Raw genomic sequence first — 19098 nt, 5'->3', positions numbered from 1 at the left:
TCAAACATATGAGGCACCTGGTGATGAAGGAGAGACTGATTGGAACACTCAGGATAACCCATAGAAGATTTTTGTTTGGGTTGTTTTGAATGACTTTTTATTGCAAACCTATTACACGTTTATTGTACCAAATTTGAACTACAAAATGTATAAAGAAGAAAGTTATCTGTAATCCTGCTCCCCAGTGCAAAGAACCGTTAACTTTTTGTTATACAGCCTTAGCTTTTTAAAAAAAAATTATTTGTATATATAAAATTATTTCTTCACCAATAGGATTACGTAGTACGCATCGTTGTGAAACTTGCTTTTCTCCTCTTCTGTTGTGTGCCTTTCTCCCCAGTCATGACACATTCTTCCCTGACATCACATTTCATGGCTGCCCATTTTTCTAACCTATGAGTATGTGAGCGTTTAGCCAATGTATCGTTATTGGGCATTTATGTTGTTTCCAGTTCCTCATTATAAACAACACTCAAATGAATGCCACTGCAGAAAAATCTTGATGCTGCTCTAAAATTATTGACTTGGGTAAAAATTTTCTGGAAGTGGGTCAAAAGGAAATGTATGGTTTGCTTTTGCCACAGGTTGTTCTGTCCCCTCCAAGCTCACCTTCCACAAGTTGTGTTTGTGTATAAGTTCGATTTCTCTCTCTCTCTCTCTCTCTTTATTTCCATATAGCACATTGCCTTGTTCCAGTGAGTCTAAGTCCTTATAACCTCTACCCAGATAAACCAAGGAATTAACCTTTTGCAGGTTTCCCAGGACACTTCCTATTTTCATGTCATCACTGATCCCACCTAAGGTGTCATCATTTAGAAGAAAAAGAATGTCACTTCCTTGGAACCTCTTCTCTCATATCTAGAGTCTGGAAGTATGGTTTGAGTCATCCTATTTTTCCTCTTAGTATGAAAAACCTAACTGCATTGACACCTTTTTGGGTGAAACACTTTTAAAAGTAGCTGACTTTTTTTATTGTTATACAGACGTCTCTGTCAACACCACCTTCTTTCCCTTCTCCCTCTCACCTCTTCACACCCCACCCCAACACCCCTCTTATACCCACGACCTGTTTAGTTGGCTCTTAGTATCTCTATATTTTGTTTTTCAATCCTACCTCCTCTATCTTCTCTGTAAATCCTTCATCATTTTTGTCTTCCTTCCAAATTCTTCCCAACTTTTCAAGGTCTAGAGAGCCTTGTGACTTCCAGAATTACAGAAAGGTTTAAATTACCATCTCTTGTCCCACCTTTGGTCCATACATCCCATGCCTGAGAGTTCGTATGTATTTGGGGGATGTGGTGAGGATATATCATCTTCACTGCCTTCAGACTACACAGTTGTTCATTCATTCAACAACTCTTTATAGACATCTATCCCCTATGGGCTCGGCACTGTGCCAGGTACCAAAGATACAACTGGAATGAAAAGCACATGGTCACTGCCTGCAGGAAGCTTACGGCACAATGACTTGAAGTTTGGCATTTTATATGAAGTGATTTCATTTGCAGACTTAAAACAAAAGGATATATTTGTGCTTTAAAGTATAAATATTATATTCTCTTCATTCCCATTCATCCCTACTTGGATGTGTACATTGAATTCCTATTTACTCTTCTTCAGTTAGCACCTGTGGATTTTTCATAGGCAAGTGGAGGCTTAGTGGATATGGGCGTATTCCTCAAAGGCCACTGGGGGAAATGATGGAGGAAATGCACCAGTCATGATTCCCCAGCCTGGGGCCTCTGACCCTAGCTGAAGTTCTTTATGTTTATAGGACTCAAAGAGCAAGCTTTGATTGGCAGCTCATGAACCCTAGGTTGTAATGGAGGGAACTGGCTTTTTGAATAAAATCTCAAAATGAAAGGATTCAGGCATGGTATGGTGGCTAAGCGTTAAGCCTAGATTAATAAGAAGGCTTGGTGGTGGGGGAAACGTTATTCTAGGTAATTGGATTTTCAGATTAAATGAAGATTAACAAATAAAACCTGTTAAATTGAAAAATTTGCTTAAAAATTCCCTAAAATGCATTAGGTTTCTGCCTTAAGTAAACAGAAGAAAACATACGATATTTTTGGGTATAATTTTTCTATAATGACGCCAAGTGGTGATTTTAAATGGGACTGTTTTTCTACCACCAGGGTAGAAAGCATAGAGATGAAGCTGAAGATGAGCTTGCTCAAAGAGATCTGTGGAAGATTCTTCATTATAAAGGATTCCTTGCTATAGGAACTCTTATTTTAATTTGCTTTGTTCTAAAATAGGGAAATTCTAGCCCAGTGATCATCTATGACCAAGTGAATTCCAGTGAATTGGTCCAGAATTTTTTTTTTTTTTCCAGACAGGGTCCCACTCTTTTGTCCAGGCTGGAGTGCAGTGGTGCAATGTCAATGGCTCACTGCACCCTCGACCTCCGGGGCTCAAGTGATCCTTCCACCTCAGCCTCCCGAGTAGCTGGGACTCCAGGTGCACACCACCATGCCTGGCCAATTTTTGTATTTTTCGTAGAGATAGAGTTTCGCCATGTTGCCCAGGCTGGTCCCAAATTCCTGGGCTCAAGAGATCCTCCCGCCTCATAATCCCCGTGTTGGGATTACGGTCGTGAGCCACTGTGTCTGGCCTCATCTGGCTTTTTTATCTTTATAGTGATCTTCACAGTGAGGCAGAAAGAACAGGGGTGTCGTCCTATATTTTACCAAAAGATGCTGCCATTCTGTAAATATACTATAGCCATACAGACTCCAAAATGAATGTTGACTGTCAGCAATAATGAGGGCAGAGATTTAGCAGCAGGTACCAAAGGAGATATGAGCTTGTTGCACTAGCGAGCAGGGCTGTGCTCTCAAGCTGAGGAAACACTGGTCACTGGACCACAAGCCTGGTGAGCCCTTATCCCTGGAAATGGTTTTCTCTCAGACACATCCTTTAGGGCACTTCCGTATGCAGCAGATTTAGTGATCATGGAAAAGGTCAAGGAAAAGGAAGAGGAGGGAATGGAGGAGAGGCAGATTAGAGCAGCCTCTTGTTGACCTGTGTGTTCTTCCCTGGTAGACTGTCAGCCCTGTGAGGGCAGGCATCCTGTGTGGCATGTCACTAAGTCTGCAGTACAAGCTCACTGCAGCTTTTGCACATGGTAGCAAATGTTTAGAGGAAGGAGCAGGAAAGGATGGACGATGGATGCTTGCAAGGATGAAGTGATTGATGGACATCAGTGGCAAGATCCCTGGTTTAGGAAACCTTGCTTCTTAGTCGCAGTTCTGCCACTAATCAGCTATGTGACTTGAGCGCGTGCATAACAGCACACTTTTTTGCCTCACAGGGTTATCGTGAGAAGACAAAATAGCAGTGTCGAGTGCTTTTAAAGCATACAGCATTATATTAACGAAAGTGGTGTCAGCTAAGGTGTAATTCTGACAAAAGCATTTTCTTTTGGCTTTATCAGTCATCCCTTTCAAGCCCTGATATCTTCGACTCCCCAAGTCCCGAAGAGGATAAGGAGGAACACATTTCACTTGCGCACAGAGGAGTGGACGCGTCAAAGAAAACTTCCAAGACTGTTACCATATCCCAAGTGAGTCACCAGCCATGGCGAGGGTGTCCCTGTCATTTCATGCATGTGCTAATGATGGGTTATAAACCAAACAAAGATACACAAACAGTGCAGGTGTTTGTCATTCTTCAGTGACAGCGATTCTGTTACTCATCAAAATCCCCAAGGCATGTTGCAGTCTCCGAAACTAGGCAGAATCCCTGAGATACAAGTTCAGTTGTTTATTTCCCATGTTGTTCTCTTGTGGTTTGATCTCCTCTTCATACCATCACACACACGTTCACAAATACCTTCACACACTACCACCATCACCACAACCAGAACAATTTAAAAAGCCGTGAGACGTCTAGAGAGAAGACATTAAATATATTAAATGCTGTGCCCTCTGCCCACAGATCTTGTCTTTTATGTTCAAAGCTGGTCACAAATTATAGTTGGAAGATCATAAATATAAATAACTAATGTGGTCTCTTAAAGAAAATTGATTTGGAGTCACATTCTATGATAAATTTATAGTCTAAAAACACTTTAATTTTATTCCATGCCCAGAGAGTAGTATAGATACTTTATTAGTTTATGAGAAACAAGGAAGACATTTAACTTTTAGCTACTGCATGTAACTTTTGAGGAGCATCTTGTACAAATTCTCTCCCTGTGAATACGAACCAAGATTTTAAAATTCCATTTTCTCCCACTAAGAAAACCAAGTCAATTGGAATTATTTTCTCTGAATATTAGCAACTTCTTTCTGTCTAAAAGCAGAAAACTATAGTCACTTGAAGCAGGAATAGCACAAAGAAATCAAAGGTTACCGTGGAATTTTCCTTCTCCATAGATTTAAGAATTTACATGTATAGATTTTCTTAAAAATCTGATACAGTAAGCAAAACGTGATCCTATACAACAGATCAGTTGTAATTATTCACAAAACCAAAGCATTCTTTCTTTATAAAAGGATTCCATCTGCAGAAGTTGGATTTAGACCCGTTTTTTCTGGTGACCATAGGTATAGTTTCATTTGACATCCCTGGGGTGTCTCTACAGTGACATCTACTGGTGGACAGTGGGTTTTCGTGGTTCTGATGTACACAGTTGTATCCCATTAGCCTATTTCTCTTCCCCGGAGTTGTCATGTTGTGCTCTTCAGTGCTTCTAGAAATTCCACTTGAACTAATTTGATCAGGGAGGGTGGTGGCCTATACTCTGTGAGGGCTTTAAAATTGCTCAGTAGCCGAAATGGGCCGGGAGAGCGTGTCATATAGGAAATGCCAAGAGAAGCATTGATTCAAGAAGTGTCTGGAAGTCAGTCAGTGCAAAGGCACTGGTGGGTCACAGGAGTATGGGAGGTCCGCAAGGATGCAGGATGGGCAACAGGAAAAGGCATAAGCCCAGGAATAGATGACAAGCAAAGGAGAGGACAGGAGAGTGCGAATCTTCAGACTCAGGCAGCCACAGTCACAGTGCTGGACTTGAGGGATCCAGTTGATAGGGAATTGATCCCCTGTTCTGCCAGTTATTACCTATGAGTCTTGGGGAACTACTCAGCCACTTCTCTAAGCCTCAGTTTTCTGCTTGGTAAAATGCTTGTGCCAACCGATCGTTGCTCAAATTGTCTAGCCGGTGTCCGGCATGTGATCATTGCTCCAGAAATGTCAGTTCCTCTTCCCTCTTACTCTGACTCCTACTAATGATAAAGCACAGGCTGGCGGAGCGCTATTCCTGGCAGCAGAGAGCACTTTTCCTCAATGGTAACTTGGCAGAAAAAAGGCGAGCAGAGAGGCTGGGAATGATGGCCCATCTGCTTTTGGCTTTCTCTGCCCAGTCTCTCCCTCTAGCACAGCCTGAATCCAGACTCTGCCTCCTCGCCATGCCAGCCAAGCCCCTTTTGGCTCCTGCGCTGGGGTAGCCTGCTGGGTACCTGCTGCTGGAGGGAGCCTCACGGCCGCGTTGCCAAGCTTCACCACCAGCCTCTACTTCTGCCCTGCTGCTCATCGCCCCCGCCTCCCAACATCCTGTCCCACTCTTTTCCCTCCTCGCCACCTGCCTCCCAGCTCCCTTGTTGGTGCCTTCTCCCCCAGGGGCCTACTGGGCACCCCTCTTCTCTCTCGCCCATGACTGTCCTTCTTCCTCGGCCCTCCTGGCCTCCTCAGGACACTTCTCCATCAGGCCTCCCCCGCCAGTCTCCTCCACCTTCAGCCTGGCCCTTCACTGGCTCTTTCTCTCAGCGTATCATGCAGCTTAGGGTCTCCCCAGTCCTGGAAAGTGAACAGAACCCTTCCCTGATCCCACCTCCCCCTGAGGCTTCCGCATGAGCATGCTCCCTCTCTCCTGTCTTCCTGCCTCAACCAAGTTTCTGGAAAGAGAGTCCTAAACTTTCAGGCCACACCTTCACCTCCCATCCAGGTGGTCATCTGCCAGGAGCAGCTTTCTGTCTCCCTGGCTCCACCAAGTGGACTCCACCCAGTTTTCCTCTCAGCACCCTTCACCCACGCATGCAACCACTTCGTTCCTTCTGGACTCTCCTCCAGGCCTGTCTTCTGCTTCATCCCCTCTTCCTCCCCTCTTTCCCAGTCACTAAGGGCTCCTAAAATCCAATGTGTCAAAAACGGAAATCATTATCTGATTCTTCAGTCTGCTGTTTCTCCCATGAAAGGTACAATCTCGATGCCTGGTGTGTGCACCACACCCGTGGTCCCTGATCTGTCCTTCCTCCTCCACCCTCTGCATCCTGTCCAGGACCACATCTCCCTGCTCACAAGGCGTCTGTTCCATGAGGGCAGGGTCTCCATCCTCCTGGCCCACTCCTGCCCCCAGCACTGGGAACAATGCCTGGTGCTCTATGTCGGCTGTGCTTGCCTTCGCCACATCACTCAAAGTTGTCTTGTGTCTATCCTCCTAGCCACTGCCTGGGTCCAACCCTGACCGCTTCTAGCTTACGTTGTGTAAGACTCTCCCAGCAGTTCTCTCCAGCTCCAGATCTGCCAACCCTTTAGCCTTTCTGCAGCCAGCATGGTCCTCAGCACCGTGTGCCCTCCTCTCACCCTTTCGCCTAGCCGCTTGTACTTCCCAGCCTTAGCTCTGCCCCCAAGGCCCTCTCTTGCCCCCTCTGACGGTCTAGCAGTACTTCCCACCAATGCATTTTGCTCTGCGGTCTCTAGACCTTTGCCTGGCGTGTTCCCTCCCGCTGCAGCTTCTTTCTCTAAGTGCCCCTCCTTTCCTCTGGCTACTTCTTGGTCCTCCTCCAAGACGGGACTGTCAGCACCTGCTTGCGATGCCTGCCCGTCTGGATGGCTGGCCCCTTTTCTGTGTTTCTGGGGCTCTGTATGCTCACCTCCCTCTGTGCAGTTGTCCCCCCATCTCAGTGCGTTGGTCTGTCTGTCTGTCTGCGCCCCACTGGGTTCTGAGCTCCCTGGAGACCAGGAGAATGCCTATTAAGGCATGTCTTGTTCACTTCAGAGTTTGTGGTGCCTGGCAAGTAGTTGGGCATCTCAATGTGTATATTGAACCAGTCGGAAACTCTCTGTCCAGAAAGAAGGTCACATTTAAAATACATAGAAGGCGGCGTGTGAGTAAGGGGGAAATGCCTGTACCAAGCAGGCCCTTGGTGGCTTGTGGATGAAGGAACAAGTGAATGGAGTGTGTGGAGAGAGGCGGGGACAGTGGTGTTAACGGAGAGTTTGACTAACCAGGACAAAGACGCAGCACACAAATCCCCGGCCCTGAACCCTCCCTGCCTTCCCTCGTCACAGGTGTCTGACAACAAAGCATCCCTGCCGCCCAAGCCGGGGACCATGGCAGCAGGTGGCGGTGGGCCAGCCCCTCTGTCCTCAGCGGCGCCCTCCCCCCTGTCATCCTCTTTGGGAACAGCTGGACACAGAGCCAACTCCCCGTCTCTGTTCGGCACGGAAGGAAAACCAAAGATGGAGCCTGCGGCCAGCAGCCAGGCGGCCGTGGAGGAGCTAAGGACACAGGTCCGCGAGCTGAGGAGCATCATCGAGACCATGAAGGACCAGCAGAAGTGAGTGCCTGGGGACTCTTGGGGGCCGTCACCCAGGTTGCTCTCTGCCAGGCCAGCACCTAGTTCTGAAAGCATGGATCCCAGCCTGCCTTGGAGGGCGGGCCTGGTCTCCCCGTTGATGGTGGCAGCAATGGTGGGAGTGCGTGTAGACCCCGAGAGTCTTAATTTATACCTAAATTATGCTGCATGTTTTTGCTGGACTTACTGTGTGCAGGAAGGGCACAGGCTGGCCATGGGGCATAGAGGGATGAGTCCATTGCAGGGACTGATGCTCTCAGCAGGCTGCTAAGAAGAAAAGCATTTAAATCCCCCATAAAATACAGTATGTACATGAACCACTTCTTAAATAAGCTCAACAGCTAGCTTTTCCTCTTGCAACAGAAAAATGGCAATTTCTTCACTTAGCTGCCAGATGAAGCAGTTGGCCTGCATTGAGGTACCAGTAATGTATGAAGAAGATGTAGGGAATCTTGAAGCCCAAGATTTTACACTCAGTAAGATGTTCTCACCATGAGACTGCAGTGGGCGGGGCGGGGCAGTGGGGGTCTTTCTTCCTGCATGGCTGCACACACACTCTCGCCACATCTCTAATCCTCAGGGAGCACTTTGTTGAGGAGAAAGACCTGGACACAAAAATAAGTATCATACATCATTATCATCCAGGATGTGGTTTGCAATGACAAAGCCCATAGGAGGATTAGAAGTAGAGAATGGGCATGGTGGCTCATGCCTGTAATCTCAGCACTTTGGGAGGCCAAGGCAGGTGAATCACCTGAGGTCAGGAGTTTGAGACTAGCCTGGCCAACATGGCGAAACCCTGTCTCTACTAAAAATACAAAAAAATTAGTTGGGCGTGGTGGCGTGCACCTGTAATCCCAGCCACTTGGGAGGCTGAGGCAGGAGAATTGCTTGAACCCAGGAGGAGGAGGTTGCAGTGAGCCAAGATTGTGCCACTGCACTCCAGCATGAGTGACAGAGCGAGACTCCGTCTAAAAAAAAAAAAAGTAGGGAGGCACTGCTCTGAGTAAACTGAGGCTCGAGGAGTTTAGGGATCAGTTAGCTGTTTCTTGAGAGAATCAAGGGAGGCATCTCAAAGAGTTATTTCCCGGGTAGGATTTTGAACGATGATTTAGGATTGCCAAGAGCACACTACTCCAGCAGCGAAAACATCATGTTGATTCCTGGCCACACGGGGCAGCCTGGTGAGGTCAACACATCCCCAGGTGACTGGCCTCCTTGGATTGGAGGTGCCTGGGGTGGTGACAGGAGATGCAGCCAGAGACTTACAGCGATGAAGCCCTCTGCCAGTCTGGGGTCAGCAGAAGCCCTGTCACCTGCCTCCCTCTACGTGGCTTGAGGGCCCTAATGTGTTTTGTGGTCACTTTTGGGGGATAACTCGGTTAAGCAAACTTAAGTTCTTTTCTGAAGGGCTCTTCAGAGCCTTCGCTTTGCATTGGGAGGATGGAGAGGATAGCATATGCAAGGTGTCCCACACCTGCTTAATCACAGAACCTTTTTTTTCCAGAGCATCCTAGGATGAGGGTTCCATGGAATTCGCTTTGAGTAATGTGGCTCTAAGCGGGTTCTGTTCCACTCAGGCTGGGAGGGAATTGAAGCCTCTTGGACTTACCCCAGCCTGGAAGAGATCCATCAGATTAATATACAGGACTGACAGATGGTACTTGAGAAGGAATCCTGGGGCCAGCCAGGCTACCTCTAACCCCTTAAAGTCCCCAGCTCCTATCTGGCTCTGGAGGTTACTCATTTAGGTACCCAAAGGCCCCATCCACGTCCAGGTGACCTGTGTCCCTTTCCTAGACAGGACATCACAGAGGCCCCAGGATACCCCAGAGCATTGGTTCTTGCCTTCTGAACAGGACCATCATGGCATCAGACTGGCTTGAATTCAGGGCTTTAGCTGTTTGGACCCTATGAGAGGTGCCTGCAACATCTGAAATGCCCTGTGCTTCCGGGCTGCCACACCATGTTTCTCCCCCACTGTGAAGCCTGCAAATAGTTGGTGGGAATTGTCTTTCCCCGGCCAACATCTCTTGAGTCAACACCCCACAGTGGCCTCTCTTCCAAGGCCTGCCTTTTGCTGCCTACGTCAGTCTGGCCTTCGTGCCCAGGGTCAGTGGGTCCCTACTAGTCTCTTGTATTAGTCCTTCATGTCAGTTTCCTGTTAGCCTTCAACTCAAGTCCACACCAGCTCTCCTTATCCCCAAATAAGCTGGTTCTCACCTCCCTGCTTTTCTCTGGCTTTTCTCTGTCAATTCCCCTGTGTTTCTTCCTCCTCATAGACTTACGCTCATTTTCATTTCACTAGTTCAAGACTTAGTGACTTTCTTTGGACTGCTTTCCCCAATTAACTCCCCACAGCTGGACTGCTTGAGGCTTTGCCTGCCAGTCTCCTGGGGTTGGAGCATTTGCTTGGAGTCTCACCTTCTTCCTTCCTAATCCCTAAGTAGTACCCACTGAGATATGGGTGCATGATGTGCGCTTAAATAAATACAGTAATGAATCACAACTGGTTCATATTCGTTGTGATATAAACCCAGTATGTTGACAGCAGAGCTGGGACACTGCCCCAGAGAATAGGGACCATCATCGTGCTCATCCGAAGTGAGAAAATGCAATATAACTTCCACCTTATTTTACTGTGGTGTCTCAGGCATCTTTGTTTCTTGATTTTCCAATCCAGTCTGTAAAAATATGCATGTAAAATGGAGTGTTGGATACCTGAAAATGGAGGACAGCTCTCTGCCCAGTGTTTGGATGCTTGCAGTGTCCTAAGTATAGAGCCCTAACTTTGTGGGATGGTTAGTGCTGTGCACTTCATTATTTTTAATGTTGGAAAGGGCATTAGGCCGTGGATCCTAAGTCATGCCAGTTTCTCTAAGACATGATTGCCATACCATTACTCCAATTATTTTACCCCCAAGTTTTTGGGACTTACTGTGTAGGATTTTATGAGAATCCATGAAAACGTACCAGTAACCTTTCAGCAATTAAAAACCCTATTGAAAATAAAGGAAATAGGCCAGGTGCGGTGGCTTACGCCTGTAATCCTAGCACTTTGGGAGGCTGAGGTGGGCTGATCACCTGAGGTGAGGGGTTCGGGACCAGCCTGGCCAACATGGTGAAACCCCGTCTCTACTAAAAATACAAAAATTAGCCAGGCATGGTGGTGTGTGCCTGTAATCCCAGCTCCTCGGGAGGCTGAGGCAGGAGAATCGCTTGAACCCAGGAGGCGGAGGTTGCAGTGAACCGAGATCACCCCACTGAACTCCAGCCTGGGCAACAGAGTGGGACTCCATCTCAAAAAATAATAATAATAAAAATAAATAAATAAATAAATAAAATAAAGGAAATATATATGGAGTGGTAAAAACATCTGCAATAAAAATTACAAGAAGAGCCAGGCTTAGTGGTTCATGTCTGTAATCCTAGCACTTTGGGAGGCCAAGGCAGGAGGATTGCTAGAGCCCAGGAGTTCAAGACCAGCCTGGGCAACATAGTGAGACCCCCATCTCTACAAAAATAATTTTAAAAATTGGCCTGGCATGGTGGTGTGCGCTTGTAGTCCTAGCTACTCAGGAGGCTGAGGCAGGAGGATCGCTTGAGTTTGGGAGGTTGAGGCTGCAGTGACCCATGATCGTGCCACTGCACTTCAGCCTGAACAATAGAGCAAGCCCTTGTCTCAAAAAGAAAATTGTAATAAGTACATTTAAAGCCCAGTGATTTTGTAATAAAGGAATGGTTATGGGGAAGATGACAGAATATGAACCTGTCATATTCTGACAGGTTACGTGAAGTCTAGTAATTGGGCAAGTCAGGCCACCACGCTGGGCCTCTGTTTCCCCATCTTATCCTTTTGAGAGAAGTTTGGACTAAGGGATTTCAGAGGTCACTTCCGCACCCACCAGTTGCTGGCTACATATTTTAGGGGCCCCAGAATAATGGTGAGCCTTACTGTCTGAAACAAATTTTAAGCAGTAACAATGCAAAGAAAATAATGATGTGTTGTCCACAGTTTCTTTGTAAAAAAGGATCAGATGGATTTTGTAGTCATAATAAGAGATTTCTGATCTCTGATGAAGGAAGTCTGGGATTTTGGTTAATTTCATTGCCATTTGCTTTTCAGACGAGAGATTAAACAGTTATTGTCTGAGTTGGATGAAGAGAAGAAAATCCGGCTTCGGTTGCAGGTGCGTCCCTTTGGGTTCTGCTGCCCGTGAGTCCTAGGCTCAGTGGGGCAGGACATTGTGAGGGCTTTTATTTCAAAAATAAATGATTGTCACCTCTCTGCAGATCTGGATACATTTCCTGTGACCATCTTCTTAGAATCGTATGGGCTTACTACATATCGTTTCCCCAGGAAGTCTTGGGGAAGGGAAACATTAGGAAATGTGCCCCAAATTGGGTTTCTCATTTGGAATTTATCTTTTTTTTTTTTTTTTTCTTTTTGAGACGGAGTCTCGCTCTGTGACCCAGGCTGGAGTGCACTGGCGCCATCTTGGCTCACTGCAACCTCCGCCTCCCGGGTTCAAGCGATTCTCCTGCCTCAGACTCCCGATTAGCTGGGACTACAGGCATGTGCCACCACACCTGGCTAATTTTTTGTATTTTTAGTAGAGACGGGGTTTCACTGTGTTAGCCAGGATGGTCTCGATCTCCTGACCTCAGGTGATCCTCCTGCCTCAGCCTCCCAAAGTGCTGGGATTACAGGTGTGAGCCACGGCACCCAGCCTGGAATTTATCTTAAACATCTCTGCGAAAAGCCCCTCTCCCACCTCCATTTCCAAGAGGCCTCATTATATGTGGTCACTATGGCTCCAGGGGCCACAGCTGTCCATGTTCGGGGGCATTTGCTCTTGATTTCTCAGTGATGGCCATTTCTGTCCTGCCAGGGCGTTAGAGCTCTGTCCCCTGTAGCCTCTGATTCAACACTGCTGTTACCAAATGGCAGAGAATGCGTGGGAGTTCTGATTGACCGAAGGTAGACTTTCAGCTTTCATCCAGTTGGCGCCCTTGTGGTGATGGGGACCCATGCTGCTTAACAAAGGATAGGTAGCTGCTTGCCATCATTTTGGGGGTGCTGACAGACACCCCCTTGAGCCAACCACAGCTGCCTTCCAACACTGCCAGATGGCCCCGCCTGTTAGGACCGCCTGCTCTACCCTCTGGCTAAGAAACTGGAATTATTGCTGCTTTTGACAAACTTTGCAGCCTGGCAGCCTGAGAATCAAAATGTGCACCATTTCCTAGTGCCTCGTGTCTGTGTGCCTGTTCTGTGTTGATGTCACTTCTGGCATTGCTGTTGATTGTCTATTCAGATGTCATGTCACCTTTAAAATTGTCAGATTGATTGTTTTCTTTCAGTCGACCGGGTTGATAATCTTTCAGCTTCTATAAAACCAGCCGATTCATTATGACTTTGTTCCATTCTTATTTTTCTCTTTCTAGATGGAAGTGAACGACATAAAGAAAGCTCTACAATCAAAATGAATACTTGATCAATGAAATGTCACATTATTCATCCTGAGTCCGAGACTCAAATTTTCTGCCCCAGCCAAAATAATCTTGTGCCAAAAGATTAAAGGTTTGCCTCAAAATGTCCCTGTTTGAAAGATTAGCACAAAAGTCTTGATAGCACAACACAAATTCCATCCAAGAGGAGAATCTTCCCCAGGGTTTAGTCCTGGGGCTGGCACTCGTTGTGACTTACACAGAGCAAAATTGTGCTAAAGGCTTTTCTACTCTGAGATCTCAATGCGAAATGAAAACTCAGGCAGTTTAGTCCATAGTGGTACTATTTTGATGATATTTTCCATTAATAAAATGTAATTTCAGATTATTCGTTTACAAGCTTTATAATTTTATGATTTTTTAATCGTGTTTTGTCACAGACTTCCCTAGTGTTTGTACTACACGTAGTCAGAAGCGAGTGTCCTTTTCTTTTGCTTCAGGCTAAGAGCTGCCTCGCTCTTTGTCCCCCCATTAGGATTCTATTACATATGCAATTGTAGGTTCAACCTGTCCCTTTCCCTGCCAGCAAACCCCACCACCCTAAGAGAAATTTTAGCTTATATATGACGGTATATTTACAAAAAGAGAAAGAGAAAATCTGGTATTTGCAATGATCTGTGCCTTCTTTTTACCACCCTCTTGATTGGAGCTTTTGTGATGCAGCTACCATGATTCAAAAAAATTAAAAATTAAAAAAAAAAAATCTGCCACTTATCCAAGTCCACTAGAGGCCACTGTCTTCAAAGCTTCTCTCACCCTAGCCAAAGGTCCTAAGAGGAGACAGCTGTGAAGTTGGGCGTGCTCTGTGGTACCAGCTGTGACTTTTCTATTTCTCCTAGTTTTAGGTTGTTCATGAAACTAGAAATGTCATCCTGCTTGATTTTTCATCAGCCAAGTTAAACCCCTGCTTTCTGTCCTTTGCACCTTTTGCGTGAACAGAATATGCATTATTAAAGCAAAAATAAATAAAAGTAAAATGCAAATGAAAACAAGGGAGGGAAAGTTGTATTATTTCCTGCACTGGGTTACCCGTGTGTGTTATCGTTTAAACTGTATTCACATAATGTCATTTGCCTTGCTCACTTGTAACCCCTTCCTCAGGTCCAAGAGAATGGGAGGAGGGTCATGTTGAAGTGTAGCCACTGGAACTTTCTTGCATTTATGGAGTTGCTTTTTCTTTCCCAAGGAAACTGATGTTTGCCTGTCCGCTTTATCTTTGTAGTACATGAACAGTTCAGCCTTAGACTATGTAACTGTTTTCTCATCCTTAGCTGAAAATGAGGGGCCTACTGTATTGCGAGACTGTTCAGGGGTAGGGGTGGAGGGGGTGGTCCCTTAATGGCCCCTGAAGATGTTGGATGTGTTTCTCAAAAGCTGCTTTGTCTCTTTCCTGAGTTTAATAGTGAAACTACTAAACATTAATAGATTTGCACAGCCACAAAGAATGAGAGTTGATAATACCGAAGAAGTGATGCAAAAACAAAAAATCACATTACTGATCATTGATAGTATTACAAATAAATGTCTCTTCCTTTCTCTTCCTCCCTTCCTCCCCCTGCCTTCCTCTTAACCTATGTGCTCATCCTTGCTACTTGAGGCTGTTATTTCCCTCCGAGTATTTAAGGAGCCCAAACACCTTGGTCTTCCTGGGTGGGGGCATAATTAAGGGAAGGGAGTGTATAAGGAAGGAAACCTCATACCCTCCATTCCCATCCCTGGATATATTGCCTTTTCAGCAGCCTCGGGTTCAGTGTGCTTGGGGTCAGGAGTGCCAGGTTCCCAAGAGCAGCGTAAAACATCCCTGTACCCCTTGACAGTTATAAGCATTTCTGCGTTAAACTTGAAGATTCCAGAGATTCCCCACGACCTAATGATCTAAGAATGCAGATTGGATTCTTTGATGTTCAAATTTCTCATTTACTTATGAAAATCCCTAATTATATAGTTTTATATAATGTGTATACAGAGTAGGATTGTTGATGAAATTGAGCGGTTGGAACACCCTCATGGAACACTGGCAACATGGAATGTAGAGAGCTGATGTCTTCCCCCTCATAGAGGCCATTGGCTTCCTTTGTATAAGGAGAGGGAGAAGTGATTCTGGAAGGAGAAGTTGGTATGTCTAGCTTCATTGCGGCCCCTCGGGCTACCCAGCAAGAGGATTCTGCATCAAGGAACTGGACGAGCCGCTACCCAAACTGCCACCATCTTTACTCTTTACAAAATGGACCCATCGAGAATGTTGAAAAGCTTGGAAGTATCACTTTTGAAAAAAAAAAAAATTATTTTGCATTCAGCATGGACTCGACCAGGCATCTATGGAGATTATTTTTTTGCTTCATTTTATAAAGTTGTATTTAGAAAAGTCTTAAGTATTGTGCTTTGTAAAGAAGATGATTAAAATGAAATTTTGTGAGAATAGTTTTGTTCAAAGTTGTCATGGTCCAAGAGGAATGATTTTTTTTTTTTTTTGGAATACCATTTTTCTCCACTTTATACAATTTGATTTCTCTTATAGAAATATCTTTAGAAGACATGGAATATAGTGCCTCTCCCCCATCTTTCCCAAGTGAACAGAAATAATCTGTGAAATCTGTGCCTGTGAATTCTGTTTTTTAAATTGTTCAGTTTTATACTCATATCTAATCAGAAAATGCCAGTTAGGTATAAATTCTTTTTTAGTGTAAAAAATTTTAAGTCATCATTATTCAAATAACTGTGTAAAGCCACTTTTTTTTTTTTTTTTTTTGGAGACAGAGTCTCACTCTGTCACCCAGGCTGGAGTGTGATGATGTGATCTCTGCTCACTGCAACCTCCGCCTCCCGGGCTCAAGTGATTCTCCTGCCTCAGCCTCCCCAGTAGCTGGGATTACAGGTGCCCGCCACCGCGCCTAACTAATTTTTGTATTTTTAGGAGAGACAAGGTTTCGCCATGTTGGCCAGGCTGGTCTCGAACTCCTGACCTCAGGTGATCTGCCCACCTCGGCCTCCCAAAGTGCTGGGATTACAGGCATGAGCCACCGCACCTGGCCAAGCCACTTTTATTCACACACAGTCCTCTAGGTGGCACACTCAAGTACATGATTTGTTTTCTTCCATAAGGACATCCTGTATGTATCCTCACACGTGTCTTTGCTTATTAGTGGCAGGGTTTTCTTTCCTTTCATAACCCGCTCCTTGATGGGAAAACTGCAGGATGTATAATTTATTGCTCAAATTTGCCACTGTCTGTATAAAAATAATCCCCAGGTCCCACAAAGGCCTTTGTATTGTAACGCGAGGTCATCCTGGTCTCCTTTTTGTGGTATGAGATTAGGTTTTAGTCCTCTAGTTATTTTAGCACAAATTAACATCGAGATGTTTTGGCACCAAGGGGGCTTGGTGAAAGCTTCCCTCTTTGATTTTGTACAAACAAGAACCGTAACAAAGCACGCATGCGTGGGTGACCGGCATTCAGCGTGACTGATTGTGGCATCCGACAGAGGGAAGCCTTGGCACTTAGGACCTAAGCCCAGGGAAGAAGATGCTGTGCCCAAAATTAGCACGAGTGAAGGAGCACAATGGCCAAGCCAGAAATAAATATCAGTGGTGTAAGGACAGGCAGGGACCAGGTCTCTTAAGGGGATGAACTTTTCCTGTCACTCCTAGTCCTATTCCTAGGGTCACCAAGGCTTGGTTCCCAACATGTGGAGCAGAGGCAGCCTGTGCAACTGACAAGAATCCATGAAGTCAGTACAGGTTCCCACATGGTGGTTTTACTTTATGCCCTTTTTCTTTTTTGAAGTGGAGTCTCACTCTGTCACCCAGGCTGGAGTACAGTGGTGCAATCTTGGCTCACTGCAATCTCCACCTCCCGGGTTCAAGTGATTCTCCCACCTCAGCCTCCTGAGTAGCTGGGACTACAGGCGCCCACCACCATGCCCAGCTAATTTTTGTATTTTTAGTAGAGATGGGGTTTCACCATGTTGGCCAGGCTGGTCTCGAACTCCTGACCTCAGGTAATCCGCCCGCCTCGACCTCCCAAAGTGCTGGGATTACAGGCGTGAGCCACCGCACCCGGCCTATTTCATGTCTTTTGAATTGATCCCAAATTGAAGTGGCTGTGGGGGCAGCCCCTTCCCACAAATGACGGGGTGCTCATTGTGTTTGTGAATTTGGAATTCACAATAAAATGGGCTCTTCCTTTTTTCTTGTTGGAGCAATAGGTGATAACTTATTTCAACCAAACAACAGAACAAGGTGATGTAGTAGGTTGTAGCTAGAATTTTCTGAGGAAAAAGAAAACAAAAACAAAAATAAAAAAACTGAATTCCTGGCAAACCAGCTTCATGGAGCTGTTCTCTTTAAGTGGCAACAAGTTTAATTAAATTATGCAGATAATTATGTAACAATGTCATTTTAGTCTTGAATGCTCCCTGTTCCCACCCACCCCATAGAATATTACCAGTTCTCCAGAAAGCTAAGATTTGTTTGCAAGCTTTGAGCTCTTTGATGGGAAGGTGCCCTGGAAATGCAAATTTTCATTATAGCTTCTATTAAAAAAAAAAAAAAAAAAAAAAGGCCAGGCGCGGTGGTTCACGCCTGTAATCCCAGCACTTTGGGAGGCCGAGGAGGGCGGATCACCTGAGGTCAGGAGTTCAAGTCCAGCCTGGCCAACATAGTGAAACCCAGTCTCTACTAAAAATACCAAAAATTAGCTGGGTGTGGTGGCGGGCGCCTGTAATCGTAGCTACTCAGGAGGCTGAGACAGGAGAATCGCTCGAACCCAGGAGGCAGAGGTTGCAGTGAGCCAAGATCACGCCATTGCACTCCAGCCTGAGCAACAAGAGCGAAGCTCCATCTCAAAAAAAAAAAAAAAAAAAAAAAAAAAAGGGCCGGGCATGGTGGCTGACGCCTGTAATCCCAGCACTTTGGGAGACTGAGGTGGGCGGATCATGAGGTCAAAGAGATCGAGACCATCCTGACCAACATGGTGAAACTCTATGTCTCTACTAAAAATACAAAAAAAAAAAAAAAAATTAGCTGGGCATGGTGGCACACGCCTGTAGTCCCAGCTACTCGGGAGGCTGAGGCAGGAGAATCACTTAAACTTGGGAGGGGGAGGTTGCAGTGAGCCAAGATCACGCCACTGCACTGCAGCCTGGTGACAGACTGATACTCTGTCTCAAAAAAACAAATAAAAACGAAAGTTTTAAGGGATTTACAAACCAAATTTTAAACTAACCCAGCTGGTAAAAGCCATCCTGAAACCAAACGAAAAAACATGAAGAAATCAATAACATTTCCAAGGTTATTTCCCCCAAAGAAAAACAGAGATGTCTGGCCAGGCGAGGTGACTCATGCCTATAATCTCAGCACTTTGGGAGGCCAAGGTGGGTGGATTGCCTGAGCTCAGGAGTTCGAAACCAGCCTGGCCAACATGGTAAAACCCTGTCTCTACTAAAATACAAAAAATTAGCCGGATATGGTGGTGCACGCCTATAATCCCAGCTATGTGGGAGGCTGAAGCACGAGAATTGCTTGAATCTGGGAGGTGGAGGTTGCGGTGAGCCGAGATTGTGCCAATGCACCTCAGCCTGGGTGACTGGAGTGAAACCCTGTCTCAAAAAAAAAAAAAAAAAAAAAACAAACAGCGATGTCTTAGGAGACATACAGCAGATTCTTTTCAAGCTTCATGAATATTTCTTAGAGTCAATCTGAGAAAACCAAGAATTTGGCTGGGGCTGAAGCTCTGCCCTTGAATGCCGAAGGGAAATAGATGAATAGGGAGTAAACGGATGCCTGTATGAAATGCCTGCTCATTTCCCTGCTGTCATCCCAAGGCAGCTCTCAGAAAATGTTCTTTGTTCTCAATCAGGGCAGTCTTCTTGGAGGAAGTGAATCTGGAAAGAGGAGAAGGACATGAATTGAAAGAGGAATTATCAGAGGAAGCTTCAGGCCTGAAGGTAGAACTAATCTGCTTTGATAGGGACGCATGTGGTGCTGAGAATCTGGGAGGGGTGAT

General features: G+C 45.7%; 1 protein-coding gene across 31 annotated transcripts in view; it reads left to right on the top strand.

Annotated features, from left to right (window-relative positions):
• Positions 1 to 15513, top strand: part of SH3KBP1 (SH3 domain containing kinase binding protein 1) — a 353624-nt gene extending 338111 nt beyond the window's left edge. For 18 of the 31 annotated variants that reach the window (NM_031892.3, NM_001353891.2, NM_001410756.1 and 15 more), the window contains 4 exons: positions 3440 to 3568; positions 7297 to 7565; positions 11710 to 11773; positions 13032 to 15513. In NM_031892.3, the coding sequence (NP_114098.1) occupies positions 3440 to 3568; positions 7297 to 7565; positions 11710 to 11773; positions 13032 to 13073 (504 nt within the window). In that variant the 3' untranslated portion in view covers positions 13074 to 15513. The remainder of the gene's footprint in view (positions 1 to 3439; positions 3569 to 7296; positions 7566 to 11709; positions 11774 to 13031) is intronic. The other 13 variants (NM_001353890.2, NM_001353892.2, NM_001410757.1 and 10 more) reach the window with 1 other exon arrangement.

The sequence above is a fragment of the Homo sapiens genome, chromosome X, assembly GCF_000001405.40.
Source record: "Homo sapiens chromosome X, GRCh38.p14 Primary Assembly".
In the NCBI taxonomy this organism is placed as follows: domain Eukaryota; kingdom Metazoa; phylum Chordata; class Mammalia; order Primates; family Hominidae; genus Homo; species Homo sapiens.
Note: the sequence above shows the minus strand (reverse complement) of the source record. Positions and strands in the feature narration are given on the sequence as shown.